Here is a 17,531-nt window from a genome sequence, read left to right as displayed (position 1 = left end):
GTTACAGTGTCTGCAAATACAGTTTTGCTAGAACACAGCCATGCTTACCTGTTTATATATTGTCTGTGCCTGCTTTCGTGGTGTGATGGCAAAGTTGAGTTGTTGCTACAGAGATTGCATGGCCCATAAAACTTAAACTATTTATCTGACCCTTCCTGGGAAAAGTTTGCCCATCTTTACTCTAGAGGGCAAAGTTCTTCCTATACCCATCCATTTTGGTCAAGAAGGTAGAATTTCCCAGCTGTCCAGTGGGTGGGACCAGTGAATTGTAACCCAGGGACCAAAGACAGAAGTTAAGGAGCCTGCACATGGACAAAGTGTTGGCCTGGGGCTTGGAGTCCTGAGTTCTGTTGGCTTGGGGCAAGACCTTTTCTCTCTTGGTCTTTCTCATCTTGACAATGAGAAGTTTGGGCTGCATGATCTTGAAGGGGGACGTGGTTCTGTAGTCTACATGGCTATTCCACAGAGAGGTCTGCATTGCATGAGGACTTTCTGAGCCGTCCTTTGAGGCCCTGAGCTGGAGGCAGCCCCCAGCTGACCAGCAGGCAGACATAGGAGTGCCTTTGTCCTTCCCACTCTCCTTCAGGGTCTAAGCCCTTGCACCCCGAAAGCTTTCCAGAAGTACCATCTTTTCCTCACATTGGTCCCTGTTTGGACTCAGTTCAGCCTTTTTCTTTTCCCCTGAAGTGCCTGAGATCTAGGAGAACTGTAATTATGTAATTCTTCCTCGTTATCTTTTCTAATTGTTCTCAGAGCTGTTTCCTAAACTGATTGGAAACAATTGCAGACAGGGAATGGAGTGGGAGGTAGGCGAGGACCTGGAGGCTGGCCAGAGCTTGGCCGTCTGATGGAGGCAGTGTCTTGGCAGTGGTCTCAAGGACCGGGACAGAGGGGACCACCGGGAGCCAGGCTGCCCCATACGGTTCCTGTGTCTGAGTAGCAGGGGTAGCAAGAAGGAAACACTCACTGAGGTGTTGGAAGCTTCGGTTTAATCACCCCAAAATAATAAATCTCCCGCCTGCTCTCGGGCCCTAGAGACCCAGCTGTTTTCCCTTTCTCTGCTGACACTGGTAGAGCTCCCTGGGGATTGCACCAGGCGCCAACAGGGAGCAAGGTCCTCGCCTCCTGGCATCGGATTGTTTGTGCTTTCTTAACAGAACAAAAATTGCAACTCTTGAGCCATCCATCACCCCCAGAAAGCTAGGGAGAGCCAGATGGGGAGAGCATAGGGACTTCCCACTGATTTCAGCCTGAGTGGGTAGAATGGGGTCCCTGCTATGAGATCTTTGGGAAAGCATCAAAGGTGCTGGCTCTTTGGGCCAGAGCCCCAGGAAAGGGACCCTCCTGGGACGTCCCCGCTATTAGGAATTTGTCCCTTCACTGCAGGGTTCTCTGGTGGGGGCAGGCAGAAGGCAGCTCATGCAGGGCACTTGGGGTACATGGGGCCTCCCATGTCACCTGGAGGCTTTCCTGCAGTGTCCCTTGGTTTCCCTGTCTGTGCCGATGTCCTCCCCTCCCCCATGCCTCGTCTCACCTGCTTTGCAGAAGCATATGGGTTTTCTAGCAAGGGGAGAGGAGAGGGGATGTGGAGGGGATGCCCACCTTGCCTGTTATGCACACGTTCTCCCTGCATGTCCGCACCATCTCTTTAACATTCCCAACAACCCCCTGAGGCGGGGAGATGGTCACTTCCATTTTCCTTTTGCAAAAACATTTGCAAAGGAAGGATCACATTGGATTCTGCAAGCATGTATGAAGCACGTAGTGCATGATGGGTTCTAGAGAAGGCATCGGGCAGGAGAATAGGGTAAGTCAGAGCCCCTTCCCAAGAACCAGACTCTCCAAGATCACAGGGACAGTCAGACCATGACTTGCTGGTGTGCAAAGCCCAGCAGGTCTGACCCCAGAGCTCTTTCCACCAGCCCCTGAAGCTGCCAGTAAAGATGGATACTTGTTAGGCTGAAAGCTGTACTACTCGCTTAGAGGAGCTAGCCCAGGTTCAATTCTTTTAGGGGTGGAGGTGAGGGCCCCCACAATTGTCACCCATGAGTTTATGACTGGGTGGGTGGGGGCCTGTCCATTCTGCTGTGTAGTTATTTCTCTTCCCTCTTTCCCAGCCTCTGGAACCAGAGAGGGGAGGAAAAAAGGAAGAGTGTGAGGGGCTCTGATGGGGCGCTGTAGACCCTAGTCTTCTACTTGGGGCACCCCAGCTCCCCTGGCTGTTTTTAAGGTCATGAATCCTTCCAGCCCTGCACTCCAATCCTGCCCTCAGTCAACCTCCTGGAGCTCAGACGTCCAGTGCGCCATTTCTCTGAAGGCTTTAAGGTCTGGGGTGAGGAGCAGGAAGAGGCCCCAAGGTCTTTTGTCTCCCAGAAGCTCTTCCCTCTGCCCTGGCAGAAGAGACAGCATTGCAGTGTCTTACCCAGTTGCCCTGCTAGGTTGCTCAAGTCTCCCACCACTTTTAAAGTTTGTGAGTGTCTTCAGTAGGAGTCACTGACTAGTTCTGGGGAAGAATCCCCTCCTGGGCCCCATTTCTTGTTTCATATGCTGAGCTTGGTCCCAAGGGGGTACAGGTGAGTGGATCCAGCTCTGGCCTGTGGGACTCTAGGACTCTAGGGGCTACTGCCCTAGGTCAGCATTTCTCAGCTTTTTAAAAATCACCTTTTCCCCCTTAGAGACAAGTTAAATTTAATTTAAATTCTCTTTAATGAGACGACATGTGAATTTATTGAGTAATGTTGACCTTTGGAGGGCCACAAATCATTATATCTAAGATTTTTTTTTCTTTTGCCCTCTAATTTTCACCCTCTGGGGAGCACTCTTGTACCCATTGAGAATGCATGTTCTGGGCTTTCCAGAAGACTATATGTTTTGAAACTGTCTGTAATTTCTCCAGACTCTCACTTAAGCTATAGAAAGGAGGGTCTCAGTGAATGAAGAATGTGCCTCCCAGGACTTTAGATGGTACTAAATCTGCTACTAGAGCAAATTTGCCTCAGTGTTTCTGGGCCTCTAAGTTTCCATGTATAGAATGCAAACACCTGCTGCTGCCCCTTCAACCAACAGGGAGGCCACACCTAGTGTCAGGTGGGCATGACACTGAGCTAGGGTTGGGCAGACATGACAGCGCTGGTCACACTGTGTGCCTCAGACAGAGGTGGAGACAATACATCTATACTGTCCTGTTCCTACCCTAACTCCTGCCCGGCAACCCAGCCAGTGGAGGGGTGTTCCTGAGGGAGAGGACCCCCACCCCCATCACCTTAGCCGCTCTACTGGGTCATCACCGGGGGCCATTGAAGGGCTGATGAGCCATGGCGGTGGGCTCTGCAGGATGATGGAGGCCCTGTGCAGTTGCTCTGGGCATCTTCTCTTGCTTGGCCGCACTTCTTGACACTCCTCCAGTTGTACACTGATCTCCCCCTGGGAGAGGCCCTCTTTCCCCTTTTCTGAGGCAGGAATGAATCCACAGCAGTGGCAGAGGCTGGGAGCAACCAGAAACTGCCCTGTGCCACCTTCCTCCTAAATGAGGCACCCCAGAGTCCTGTGCCTGCACTTTATGAAGAGTTTTCTCAGTTTCAGGGACAGGGAGTTGGGGCCACTGAGCAGGGTCAGGGAGCCTGGGCAGGAGGCCCGAGGGCTGCAGAAGCCCCTGTCTGCCTCCACTGGAACTGTCTGAGGGAGGCACCATGTTCAAGAGCAGGCCAGAGCCCCCAGCTCCCGCCCCCACCTCGATGGAGAGTTTAATAGGAAGCACAAATGAGAAACAGCCTTCTGGAATTTGGCTTTGGTTCCTTTCTCTCAGTTTCCTCAAATGTTTCTTTCTTCTCTGTTTCCCCTGTCCTTCTCCTCTCTCTTTGTCCTCTGCCCTTTTCTTCCTCCTTGTATGATTTTCTGGCTGAGTGTGTGGCCCTGTCTGCCTGCCTGCCTGTCTGCCTTCCTGTCTGCCTCTTCTAAGGCAGGTACCCCTGACTGGGGTAAGGCAGGGCTCAAGGTGGGGAGAGGTGGGGATCTGATGAGGGAGGGTGAGGAAGGGGAGGAGGAGCCAGGAGGGGCCTGGGGTTCCGGGAGACAGACATTAACCCTTTCTTGGCCTAAGGACGTCATTCAGCCTTCCCCTCCCCTTTCCCACCAAGGTCATAAAATCGGTCTCTTACTTTCACCAATTCCCCTGTCAGTGCCAGAAACACACAATTAGCTTTAAAAGTGTCTCCAAGCTGTGGCCAGTTAGAAATTTATGACTTTTTTTTTTAAAGCTTTCCTTTAAAGTGGCTAATTAGGTGTATTTCTCCAATGGTAATTTAAAAAATGCTAATTGGTCTGCACTCTGGAAGGAGGAGAAAAAAACTTTCCCCCTTATTATCTTGGCACTAGGGAGACGTAGAAGAGATTGACATGGCCTGAGCCTCCAAGGAGAGAGGCTAGGCGCCTGCTCTTTTACAGACTTGGCAGTGCGGAGGGTCCAGGAATGGTTTTCTGTGTTCCAGACTCCAGACAGTGGCCTTGCCAAGGGGACGTGGCACAGTGGGGCTAGAGAGGGCAGCTGGGGTAGGGCGGGGCAGTGAGCGGCTCACCCACCCAGGTGCCGTGATGCTGACACCCAGCAGAGGGGTGGCCTTCCTGGGAGGATGGGTGAGCTGGACGATGCGTGGAGGGCACACCATGGTCAGGACTCGGCTCTAGCACAAGATTTGACAGCTGCCAAACCACACGCTAGCAGAACCTCGTTTTTTTCCTATTTATTTATGTATAAAATTGTTATTGATTATATAATGTGATGTTTTGGTACATGTATGTAATGTGTAACCATCAGATCTGGGTAACTGGGATATGCATCACCCCAAACATTTATGTGAGAATTCACCATTTGAGGGAGGCTGTTTCTGCCAGGGACAATTACAAATGGAATGGAAAGGGGACAGTATCCAGGGTGTATAGTGTCCTCACATGGGGGAGGGGCAGGTCACAGGGAGCCCTGGGCAGGAATGAGGCTGGGAAAGGAATGCTGGCCTGGGGGGTTCTACTGACCTCCTGACTTGCCAGGAAGGGTGGGGGTTCCACCAAGATTTTGGTCCCTACAGAAGGATGAAGACGACATCAGCCTGGTTGGACGTCCACAAGGAGCAGTGCCCCCTCTACTGTCTTGTGGGCCTGGGCCAGGGCTCTCCAGCTGAGCTCCCTCCTCAGCCCCTTCAGCCATAGAGTATATTGGGACTTGGTATGGATTTCCTAGATCTGCCTCTTTTCCAAAAGTTGCTCAGAGATGGAGCAAAACCCAGGCCAGGGAGCGGGGGGCAGACCAGCAGCACCAGCATGTGAATCCACAACCCCTGCGTTTCCAAGACATGGGCCTGATGTTGGGTGAGGGGCTCCCTGCTCCTCTTCCTGGGGCTGGGGAGTCACTGAGACCCTGGCGAGGAGGAGGCGTGGGCTCATGCCTTTCAACGTCTCAGCCTTCTCTGTGGGAAAGCTAAAGTGGGGCTAGAATCAAGGGCCTCAGGTGACCCCTGCTCGTGGTTAGAGGCAAAGGGCATGTTCTGGGAGCTGATCCAGAGGGGAGGGCAGCCCTGAGAGGCATTGACCTCCATGCAGCCCCGCCTGGTTCAAGGGGGCCTGATGGGGAGTGGTGCGTTCTCCTAGAATGCTGTTGCTTTCTCCTTGTGGCCCCGATGGTGGTGGCTGTAGTGTGGCCATCCCCATGTGTTGCTATGTGAGTAACGCAATTACGAAGACACAAAACAGGGATGAAGAAAAACATTCTGCAGGAGAGAGAAGGGGAGGGAGGACCAGTCACAATCAGCTCTGTTGTTATCGGATCATTTCAGGGAGGAGTAGAATTCCAGACAGGGAGCCCAGTCCCATTTAAAACCCTGTGCTGTTGTGGAAGGGAGGAGTGATGATCAATTAAACAGATTCCTCAGCTTTTTTGCTGAAATGAGCTTTTATTAAGGATGTCACTTCCCCTCTTTGGCTTCATGACCATCTCTAGAAAAGCTGGATGGGCATACATGTGACTGATATTCTGGCCCCAAATCTCTGCAGCTCTCTGCAACTTCCTGCTCTCAGACTCAGTTTATCCATCAGCAAAATGGGAAGAGGGAAACCCCTTCATTCTCTCTGCTGCAGTGTGACAGATTGTTTGGAGCCCTGAGGGAGGACAGAACAGGGCCTAGATCCTAGCTTTCCACTTCCCAGCTGAGTGGACTTGGGAGCGTCCCTTCACTACGTAAGCTTTGGCAGGTTGGGAAAAGTTAAATGAAATAATAACATGAATTGTGCAAAATAGAAATATGGACTAAATCTGATTGATGTAAAAGTGAAAGATGAGCAATGCAAAGTACCCAGCACAGTGCTGGGAATGCAGAGCCTCCGCAGGGCAGATCTGATTTCTTTGCTACCCCTCCTGGCTAATTCCACGGTGTTCGCACAGGAGGAGGCTGGAGAGGATGAACACGGTTCAGGAGTCGTGTAACGAATTCCATGCCACCCCAAGGGGCTAGCGGGGCAGGGATGATGAATGTTCTTAATCAGAACCTGCCACACCATCCATTCTGCTCTCCCTTGACTCTCTGCCTCTGATGAGGTGGAGAAGCCTGGCTCCCTCGGCTGTGGGAGGCTTTGCTTGGCAGATCTCGCTTTCAGAGGTTTCCCGAGGTGCTAGGCCAGCACGTTTGTCCATCTTCTGGGGTTATCCAGAGTTACTTAATCTTTATGATCCTCTGCCCAGTGGGGTAATAATACCCCCTTTATAGGGATATTATGAGGATTAAGAGAGATTATGTATGGCCAGGAGCTCCTGGAACAGGGCCTGGGCCTTGGAAAGTGCTCAGCAAATGTTACTTCCCTTCCCTCTGCAAACCTAATAGACAATAAACTGGCAACTGGACATCTGACTAAGCACATCGTGAATTAGCTTGAGTCATAAAGGAGACAGAAGGGGACCGAGAGCCAGGCCATTAGATATGGCCAACACGAATCTGTCTCTGGATGAATTACTGCTGGACAATTACGATGGCCCCTATTAGCATGGCTGCTTGGAAGGGTGGCACATTCATGGATTTTGGAAGTCGGCAGCCGTACTTTTGATCTCAGCTTTAATGATGCACCAGCTGTGTGACTTTGGGTAAGTTGCATATCCTTCCGTGCTTCTCTGTGTGTGCACATACATGGGAAGAATTAAATGCCGTTGTGGCTGTAGAAAATCTGGAGGGACCCAGTAGATCCCAAATAGATGTTCATCTTCTCCCCTCTTGCTCTCTGAGGTGAGAGATCAGTTCTGTCTGGGTAAGGCACCCATTGTTCTGCAGGAAGTCAGATTCTTTGCATCCCATCCATGCAGAGCCATACAGGGTGAAGGAGGGTGCTGGGCTCACATGTTCACCCTTGTTTTCCAGCTCCTAGGGTGGGGCTTGCATAAGGCATAGACTCAGACCATTCGGTAACCAACTGAGCAAATCATTCCCAGAGTATAACCGTTTTTCTGTGACTACAGGTGTCTATTTGACAACGACTTCCCTGTGAAAGGCTCAGGGCACTTTGAAGACATTACCTCATTGTTGGGAGAATTTTAGAAGCATCATTTGATCTATTTCACAGCCAAGGAGGGTGAAGAATACAGAAAGACATTGGCTTGCCCAGGGTTGCAGCGAAGCAGTGATGTATTTGACATCTCAGTTCTAAGCTGGGGTTCCCACTGCGATACTCTTGGTAACTAAATTGGTGTCTCAAAAAAGAGGTTCTGGGATGCTCTTGGGGATCTCTAGGGTTTATTTGGGATACTAGGACCAGACTGTGACCCTGGAAAACATTATTAATTGGGATAATAATAATAATTACCATTTTGAGCACTAAGTTGTAAGTTTTGTGTTTGATATTTTGTATCTTTCATCTTATTTCTTCTTCACAACAGTCATTATATAGAAGGTAGTTATTTTTGTTTTGTAACTGAAGCTGTGGTAAAAAAAAAAAACTTTAGCAATAAAGTAAAGAAGCAGCTAAGATTTAAATTCAGGGATGTCAGCCATAAATAAAGCCCACTCGGTTGCCCTGACACCATAGTAGAGAAGACAGAGAGGGTGAGCAGAACGGGGGAATTTTCTAGGGGCAGAGTGATGATAAGAAGATGGAGTGAGATCCATCCTTGGTATTGTTGGGGAAGAGATGAAGAGAGTTTGTTGTCAATGTCATATGTTAAAACTCCTCTTACATTCTAGGGCAATTTGGGAACCACCTTTTAAAAGTGAGTGTTCTCTTATTTAGCCTTTAAAAAGAAGGACATTCTGACACATGCTACAATGTAGATGAACCTCGAAAACATGAGGTTTAAGTGAAATAAGCCAGACACAAAAGGACAAATGCTGTATGATTCCACCTACATAAAGTACCTGGAGTAGTCAAATTCATAAAGACAGAAAGTAAAATGGTAGTTGCCAAGAGCTGGGGGACAGGGGAATAGGATCATAGAGTTTAGCAGGGACAGAGTTTTAGTTTGGGAAGATGAAAAAGTTCTGAAGATGGATGGCAGTTGTGTTAGTCCATTTTCACACTGCTGATAAAGACATACCTGAGACTGGGCAATTTACAAAAGAAAGAGGTTTATTGGACTTACAGTTCCACATGGCTGGGGAGACCTCAAAATCATGGTGGAAGGAAGGTGAAAGGCACATCTCACATGGTGGCAGACAAGAGAAGAGAAGAGAGTGCATGCAGGGAAACTCCTGTTTTTAAAACCATCAGATCTCGTGAGACTCATTCACTGTCACGAGAACAGCAGAGGAAAGACTTGCCCCCATGATGCAATTACCTCACACTGGGTCCCTCCCACAAAACATGGGAATTCAAGATGAGATTTGAGTGGGGACACAGCCAAACCATATCAGTGGTGATGGTTGCACAACAATGGGAATGTTCTTAACACCACTTAACTCTACACTTAAAAAAATTGTTAAAATGTAAATTTGAAAAGAACTGAGTGTTCTTCTTCCTATTCAGGTGCTTAAAGGCAAAGAACTTTTTGTTGTGCAGAGGCACCTGTGGGGCAGGTGGGAGCCCTGTGGCTTTAGTTAGCTGAGGAGGCTGTGGAGGCTGGAGCCTGAGGCTAGGTACCAAGGAGCACCAGAGGATGAGCCCAGCCATAGATTCTATGCATGAGCCAAGAAAAGTATTAGAAAGGGCAGAGGCTCTCTTGCTGTCCCCTGGACCAGCAGCTCAGGAATCTACTGGATCACAGTCCCATGGGTAGACAAGCAAAGAGACATTTCAAGGCAGAGTGAGAAACGTGTGATACAAGAAGTGCATCCTCTTGGAGGACACAGTTCAGGGGAACAGAGACCATCAATTAAATACATTAGAATTCATGCTCTAATACAGAGGCACAGGAGCAATGTGGACTTGACCTTGACTCGTGGGCAGGTGTGGAAGAGGTTGGTGGGGATCCCCTCACTCCCACCTATTTGTAGATGCCAGAAGCCTTGAAGAGAAGGACTGGCAACATGCTGCAAGCGTTGGTTGATGTGGTGTGGTCTAGAGGGTGACAAACTCTGGCTCCCAGGCCAAATCCAGATCACCTCTGATTTTGTACAGCCCATAAGCTAAGGATTTTTTTTCCGTATTTAATGATTTAAAAAAAAAAGAAGGCTATGTCATAGCCCATGAAAGTGACATGAAGTTTGAATTTTACTGTACATAAGTAAAGTTGTGTTGGAACACAGCCACATTCATTTGTTTATGTATTGTCTGTGGCAGCTGTCATGCTGCAACGGAAATGTTGAGTGGTTGTGACAGAGACCATATGGCCTGCAAAGCTGAGAATATTTCTTATCTGGCCTTTACAGAAAAGTTTGCTGACCCTTGGTCTAGTCCAGTATTTTTTCAAACTGTGGGTCACAGCAGGCAGTCATGAATCAACTTAATGGAACATGACCAGAATTCAAAAAAGAAAAACAGAAGAATGGACAGAAACTATCAGAGTGTATCACTTGTTGTAAGGCTGTGTTTCTCCTTAAATATTTTCTTATTTCCTTTAACTTTTATTTCAATTAAGCATGTATGTGTATTCTCAGTCATGAGCTGAATTATTTATCTTACTTATGGGTCTTGATCAAAAAAGTTGGAAAGCTCCTTGTCTAGGTGAACCCAGGAAATTTCTAGTTGTTCACCCAGTTATCTGGGATGAAATTTGGATGCAGGCTGCTCAGCTACCTGTGGTCAAGGGAGCAGTTCTCTGCTCCTGCAGCCCAGATCCAAGCTAAACTGGTGGGTACAAGATTCTCTGCTGCATTTTTCTCCCCAGAAGAACTGTGGTTTCCTCTGCCCAGGACACGATGCCTGGCCCCAGGTAGAAACCTTTCCTTGTTCTCGCCCAATTTTCTCCCACTTAAAGAGGAAGGTTTCCATTTTCCCTCTGGGAATGAATGAGGAATGTTCACTTCCAGGCAGAAAGACAAAAAGAAGCAAGTCCCAGGACCAAGGACACAGAGCTCCCTTCCCAACCCTTTGATTGACAGCTAATACTCAGTGACAAGGAGACGGTGCCTGTACGTGGTGACAAGAAGTGAGATCCCAGAAGGCTCTGTGTTTACAAACATATTGCCAAAAGTGTCACGGATACAATTGAAAAACATCAATAGTGATCGATGGGAACAAATCACTGGCCCCAGCCATTAAAAAAGAAAGTGAATCCAGGCCTGGAGGAAGTGAAGGGGAAGAATCTGTAGAGGATGGGAGCATGGTTACACCCTCTGCCTCTCACTTCTTCCCCTCCTGCTTACTCTTTGTTCTTCTTCCCACACCCCCTGCTCCACCCTTCTGCTCGTCACTGCCAGTTGCCCCCTTTGCAATGGAAGGAAAACCATTGATTTCTACAAAGCCTCTGCCTTGGTCTTAGAGATGGAATCTGAGCAGAGCTCCCTGCTTTCCTCTTCCTTTCTCCAGGCGGTGCCCAGGATGCCTGTTGAATTTCAAGCAGTGAGTTTGTGAACCAGTTCTTAGCCAAGCTTCATGTTCTCAAAGACATTAACAATAGGCATCCCTCCACACAGAGCATTAGGATGTGATATGCTTTGTCTGAGCAGGGGATTCTAGGACTTGAGAGCTAAGCTGGGCTGGATCCATCTTGATCTGGAAAGTTTTGGGAGGCCAAGGAACTATGTTCAGCAGAAAGTTTCAATCCTGATATTATGGTGGAAAACAGGAGCAATCACAACTCCAAAAATTTGAGGTGAATTTGCCACTGGAGTCTGAGGGACTGGAGTAGAAATCATGGAGAAACTTGGGGGAGGGATGAATGAACTTTGATGGATGGAGAGGAGAACCTTTCCTGAGTTCAGGTCACTTTAGAGCCTGGAAAAGGGGTGTAATCATTCTTTTAAAAAATAAGATAAAACATACAGCAGCAACAAGAAGGGCAGTGCTTGTGCCAGAGCTGCAGAAGAGTCTAGAAGGACTCAGCAAAGAGCTGGGGTTGGTTGGCTAGGTGCTTGTCTGTGGATGGTCATTAAGACTCAGTGCCCAGAATGCTAGTTCTAAATAAACTCAAAAAGTCTTCCACAGGAGGAATAATGAATTAGAAGCGTTTTGTCCAAATAAACCAAAGTGACCTAAGAAGAGAGTCTTTAGAGGACCAGGTGGTTGCAGAGAAAGCAATTTCCCCACAAAACTAAGGAGGTAGATAGGGGGCCCAGAGAGAAAGAGAACAGAGACCCACGGACCAAAGAGTAAACCAGCTTTCCTGGGATGAAATAACAGCAGCCCAGGCAGAAACCAGAGTAACAGATTGGGCATTTGTTGATCTCCTGCTCCTTCTCTCTCCCTCCGTCTCTCCCTCTCCCCTCCTCCCCCACCTCTCCCCCTTTCTCTCTCTCTCTCCTTTTCAGTCTTTTTCTCTCTCTCCTTCTCTCTCTCCCTCACACACATATATACATTCATTCATTAATCTATTGTATTGCTTATTTATTTTGTGCAAGGCATTTTTCTGTACACTGGGAATTCAGATTTAAAAGATACAGAAATAAAATCTCTGCCCTCAAGGAATTTGTGAACTAAAGCATTACCTCATTCCTTATCTACTGGACAAAGTCTATATCCTGAGATTTTTCACTGAGTCTCAAAACAATTGCGTCATTTAAGTGACTGAATATGTAGTTTGAGGGAACAACCACGAAGCAAGGGTCTAGGAAGAAGCAGAGGAGGCAGCCCCAATCCTAAGCGCAGGCCTCATGACACAGGGATCACACTTGGCCATGGTGACAATAATGTGGCGGGTAGGAGATGCCCAAGAATGTCCAGACAAGGAGCCCTTTCTGCCATTTCATCTCTGGCTGTCAGAGGCTCCCCCACAGCCCTGGTCCGTGGTAAGTGAGCTGTCAAGAGGATGGATTGGCCTCACGCAAAGAGGTAGGTAATGATCTTTGAGGCCAGGGGGAAGCGGGAGTCCCTGTAGAGTGGGCATACACTTAGCTTAAGAGAGTGTGAATTTCTAGTGCAGACAAGAAGGCATTCAGCAACATTCCGTTGCAGGACTTATATAGGCATGGCAGGATATAGTCACTTTTTTTTTTTAACTAGAATCTGAAATGCAGTTGAATTTTTCCACATGCTGAGATGTTTTCCATTTTAGTAGCTTGTAGAGAAGCAACTGTGAGTTTGTGATGAACAGTATGGGGGTGGGAGAATGGGGCACTAGTCCATAAAGTGGTTGAAGAACTGTTAGGTGTCATCCATCCACTCTTCCATCCAGCCAAACATCCATTGGTTTATTCAAGAAGTATTTACTGAGACTGAATAGGAAGACAGTCCTACTGGGCTGCTTCCCAAACTCCAGGTTTGCCATTTATCTTTTCAATTGCTGCTATTTTACAAATGTTCAATGTCTCATTCTTGGACAGCCCTGTGCCATTATAAGAAAGGAAGATGCAGCAATACAGCTAGTGATTTACCTGTCAGGAGTCATAATAGTGTGAAGACGTGTTGGAAATCACCTCTGAGTACTCTGATATTTTCTGTGCACATCTCAGAAGGGATCAAGGATGAGGATGATGGGAAAAACCCAGAATGACAGGCTGGGTGGGATGGGAAGAGCCTTCGACATAACTGGCTATGTGACCTGGGCCATTGGCCTCCCCAGTTGTCACTGGCCTTATTGTAATGTATGAAAAGAGGTTGAATATGCTAATCTCCAAGGCCCCTTCCTTCTGTGGCATTTCTTGAAGTCTCACTTGTTAATAACAGCAACCAATTGATCCATGTCATGCTGCCCTAGGTTCTCCTCTTTGCTCTTCACCCTTTTCTTGTCCTTTCTAGATGGGAAGAACTCACATGTTAATGCCATCCTTCCTCCAGCTGGTTATCCTGAAAAGTGTTTCTATTTGCCATCATCTAGCCTTATCCTCTAACCAGTGTTACCTAGTGAATTTTCAGTAAAAATGGCAATATTCATATCTGCACTAGTCATTCTGGTGGCCACCAGCCACATGGGACTACTGAGCACTTGAAATGTGGCTAGTATGACTAAGGAACTAGATTTTAAATTTTACCTAACTTAAATTTAATTTAATTTTAAAGAACCACGAGTAGCTGGTTATCAGACAGCATAGCTATAATCTATTCTTTCCCCAGTGCTCTCTAGTCTATATCAAACTTATCTGTTCATTTCTTCCTAAATCATTGGTTAAATTTGGTATCTGTAGTGAAACTTCTTTGGCTGGAATTCTCCTTGACCACTTACTAGCTGCAGAACCTTGGGCAGTTTACTTAACCTATCCAGACCTCAGTTTCCTCACCTGTAAAATACAGGTACTGATAGTCCTACCTTGTGGGTTTGCTGTATTGATGAAAATAATTAATAAAGAACACTTGGCACAGTCCCTGGAACTTTGTGTTGATAAAGGTTAGCTGAGAGTGAGGAGGAGAAAGAGGGAGAAAGGGAAGTGTATTTCCACCATCTATCTCCTATTAGAGTTATGTTTTGCAGGCTGACTATCTAACCTGTAGTATTACTAGTTAGCATATGGAGACAATACCGTCTCCCAGGGCCCACATGTGTATCATTTTTATTTGAGTCTTATCTGTTTGCCCAGCTCTCCTGATACCTCTGTTCCCTGCACCAGAGCAGATACAAATCTCCTAACAGCAGCTACACTGACACAAGCTGAGAGGCCATATCCCTGGTCTCGCACACACATACATGTGAACATACCCGTGCACACACACACGTCTTATAAAGCAGACAGACCTGCAATCTCATTTCTTCAGACATCTGTGTCTTCTGGCTGTGGCTCCTCCTCCTTTGGGCGATGGGGAGCAGGGCGATGACCCCATTAATTCCAGGCAGGCCCTTGTTGCTCTGCAGGCCGCCAACTCCCTTCGGACCTCCCCTCTGGCCAACTTGATCTCCCAAGGGACATCTCTCAATCCTGCCCCAGGAATCAGATGTCTAAATAGCAAATGAAAGATTAATGCCAGTGGCCAAGATTAGGGTGTGAATACTTTGAAGGGCAGAATAAGAGACGGCTCTGCTTACCAGCAGGGCTGCCTGGTAGAGGTCGGGGAAAGGGTAGGGGCCTGTGTAGGGCCAAGGATAGGAGGTTGTGGATTCCAATGGATTGATTTGGGAGAGGATTTGTTGTCCTTGGCGTTGGAAAGAATTTGTAGTTACAACTAGGAAATGGATCCTTTGGCATTCTTATCAATATAGGGATTGCGGGTTCCATGAGGTGTGTGGGAGGTTTTCGTGTGGGTGCCATGTTTCCATGGAACTCATAGCACATCCTATGCCTCTCATGATACGTACGCCTCTTGCCAGTGTCTCTGTTCTTCTTGCCACCTTGAACCTGTTGGGCTATAGGAATCCACATGACTGGGGACTGGGGGCTGATTAATTAGCCACCCTCATAATCAGTGGAGTACTTTCTGTGGTTATGGGATGTGAGGTGAGGAGTAGCCTGATATTTGTGAAATAAGCAGATATTTTACAGAGAGTATGGCTCTTGTCCAAGCATCAAACCTCTGTGTGGATATTTTTTTCTCCCCTCCCTACCATCTCGGTCACCTCTCTGCCACCCCAGTCTCCTGTTAGGTTTACCGCAGTCTCTCCTCTGATGGTTTGGGGTTTGATAAATATTTTCCCCTCCGGAAGTCTTTAGCAGTGCAGCAAAAAGGTTACATGATGGATTCTCCCCATCGCTTAATTGAAGCCATAAAAAATGAAAAGAGAGTTTCCAATAAACCAAACCATTACTCACTGGTGGATGAGAGGGGATCCCAGAACCAGGACCTGGAAGGCACAGCTGGCAAGCCCTCCAGCTGACTGTCTATTATGATTATTAATCACAACAGCAACAGGGTTCATCTGTACCCAGCTTCTTAATGAACTTGGACTCATGTCCTTACAAGGTTGTAGCCATTACAGCAACCGGGGCTTTTCCATTTAAAATCCCTGAAGGCTGATTTGGATGGATGTCCAAGTGGGTGCATATGTCCCAGTGCTCCCCCAAATTATGAGATATGTGTAGTCGTGTCTAGGCCCGAATAGTGGAAGAGAGATAGCTCTATCTGCCATGATTGGGAGACTTGTGTAGTGACTAGCAGTGTAAGAGTATGACTGGTGGCGGAGTGCATACCTTTTTTTGTGAGCACAGCTTGATGGCTACATGTTGTGAATGGGGTGTTGAGAGTTTTGTTTACTGGATGGTTGATATGGGGTTGGGAGTGAGGAGTGTATAGTGGTCATGGGTGTATATACTCTAAAATAGCATCATCTCTATGTAGATTCCATAATATATGGGTTTCCAGGTACATCACAAGTAGGAAGACCCTGGAATTTATTTTCCAAACTGGAAGAGTTTTAAAAAGTAAAAGAGGGCATTGCTAATATTTTGCCTGGGCCACACACATAAACCAGCAGTTTCAGGCAACCAGAACCGTGGAGTAACTCCATTTGTAAGGCACCATTGAATTGCTTAGGTGTGTTTTCCATTGTGTTTTGCTCTGAGTTGGGTTTAGGTTGAGGCCATGTCTGTTGGGGTTGGTGCTTTAGGGGAGTGGCAGAGGGTGCCTCTTTGGTGGCAGAATAATCGTGACATCTGTCACATGTTGGAAAAAGCAGCCACATGGTGGAATAAACAGCCCCCTGGCTCCAGGGTCAGAGTTGTCCTGGTTGTGTGCCCCTGTCTTGATGCTGGGGGACTTTGGTGTTCACTCCAGGAGTTACTGGAGACAGGAGGCCCAGCCAGTGAAGCAAACCCCTGGGCTGCTCCAGGGAAGGAAGGAAAGACCCCATCGAGGAAATCTTCAGAGTTGCTTCCAGGCTTTGCTGTGTGCCTGTGCAGCGAGTCCGGAGGCAGACTCTGTTCCAGTACGATTGGGTCTGTCCTGGACTTGCCCAGGCCTCAGTTTACCTCTGTGTAACACTCAGGGAAGAATAGTATCTAGTAATGAGAGTGTTAATGCTTGAGACAGTGTCGGGAATGAACTGTATAAGAACAGCATGCCTTCTTTTCCATTTTCCTCCTTCCTTCTCTCTCCACCCCCCATCTATCAAGTGACTTTGTTTCTAAAGACCTCAGATCTTTGTTTCCTAGTCACTAATCCCTCCACATCAGCAATAGTTTACCTCTGTCATGGCACCCCAAGGTTTAGGAGGAAAGGAGAGGGGTCGTCCCTCCAAAGCTTGGCCAGCGTGTCCTGCATGGAGGTCCCTCCCCGGTGCTCCAGGCCCTGGTTTTCTCTCCAGTTCACTCTGGGATCCACAGCAAGCAGTGAGCTCTCTGGAATAACACCTACAAGAATTGTGTCTTGGCTGCTTTCCCCAGAGGTCCTCTTTCCCACCTCCTCCCTGAAAACGAAGAACTCCCCCATGCTGCCAACAACTAGATGTAAACAGAAATTAATCCATCTGTGCCAAACCTCAACATGTCACCTGATCCTTATCACTGCCTCATAATCGCCTCCAAGGAAGATCTTATTATATTAAAAAGCAATTGCCCTCTATGCTGGTAACACTAATAGATTTTTGTGTGATATTTATACAGGATTTCGTTGTCAGCTCACGAGATGCTGTTCCCTTCCTTCTGCCTCTTTCCTGCTCCCTTCGTCTTTGCCCAAGTCTCCTATGATTTCAGTTTCCTGCAGGTCGCTGTCTGCAAGGTGATCGGCTCCATGAGGGCAATGCACCTGACTTCTTGACTGTTGTATCGTCAGCATGGGAAGCATGCTTGGAGCATAGTAGGCATACCATTTCATCTAGCAACTTCATTCATTCATTCAACAGATGGAGCTGAGGTCTGGAGGGGGAGATATGCCAAAAACCAAACAAATAAATAAAATAATAAACAGTTATCAGGGCTTTGAAATAAATAAGTAGGGTTTTGAAATAGAGGATAATCAAGTTTTGGGGGTCTACTCAGAATGGAAGGCTGGAATGTTTGCTCTGAGACCTAAAGAATGTGAGGAGCTGAGGTGAGGGGAAGAGTGTTCTAAGTCGAGGACACAGTCCTACCTGGGGGTTGTGAAGTGGAGAACAAACTCGGCACCTT

At 47.6% G+C, this 17,531-nt stretch overlaps 1 protein-coding gene across 10 annotated transcripts in view, besides 1 other annotated feature; it reads left to right on the top strand.

Moving 5' to 3' along the window:
- The window catches only part of PLXNA4 (plexin A4), a 525,349-nt gene that overhangs the window by 219,141 nt on the left and 288,677 nt on the right, over window positions 1-17,531 (top strand). The window lies entirely within an intron of this gene.
- Window positions 3,155-3,852: an enhancer, noted in NCBI's record as "H3K4me1 hESC enhancer chr7:132110455-132111152 (GRCh37/hg19 assembly coordinates)". NCBI's record gives its function as "activates a minimal SCP1, AML or CMV promoter by ChIP-STARR-seq in naive H9 embryonic stem cells {active_cell/tissue: H9 hESC(naive)}" and the evidence as "EXISTENCE:reporter gene assay evidence [ECO:0000049][PMID:30033119]".

This window comes from Homo sapiens, chromosome 7 (genome assembly GCF_000001405.40).
Source record: "Homo sapiens chromosome 7, GRCh38.p14 Primary Assembly".
Taxonomy (NCBI): domain Eukaryota; kingdom Metazoa; phylum Chordata; class Mammalia; order Primates; family Hominidae; genus Homo; species Homo sapiens.
Note: the sequence above shows the minus strand (reverse complement) of the source record. Positions and strands in the feature narration are given on the sequence as shown.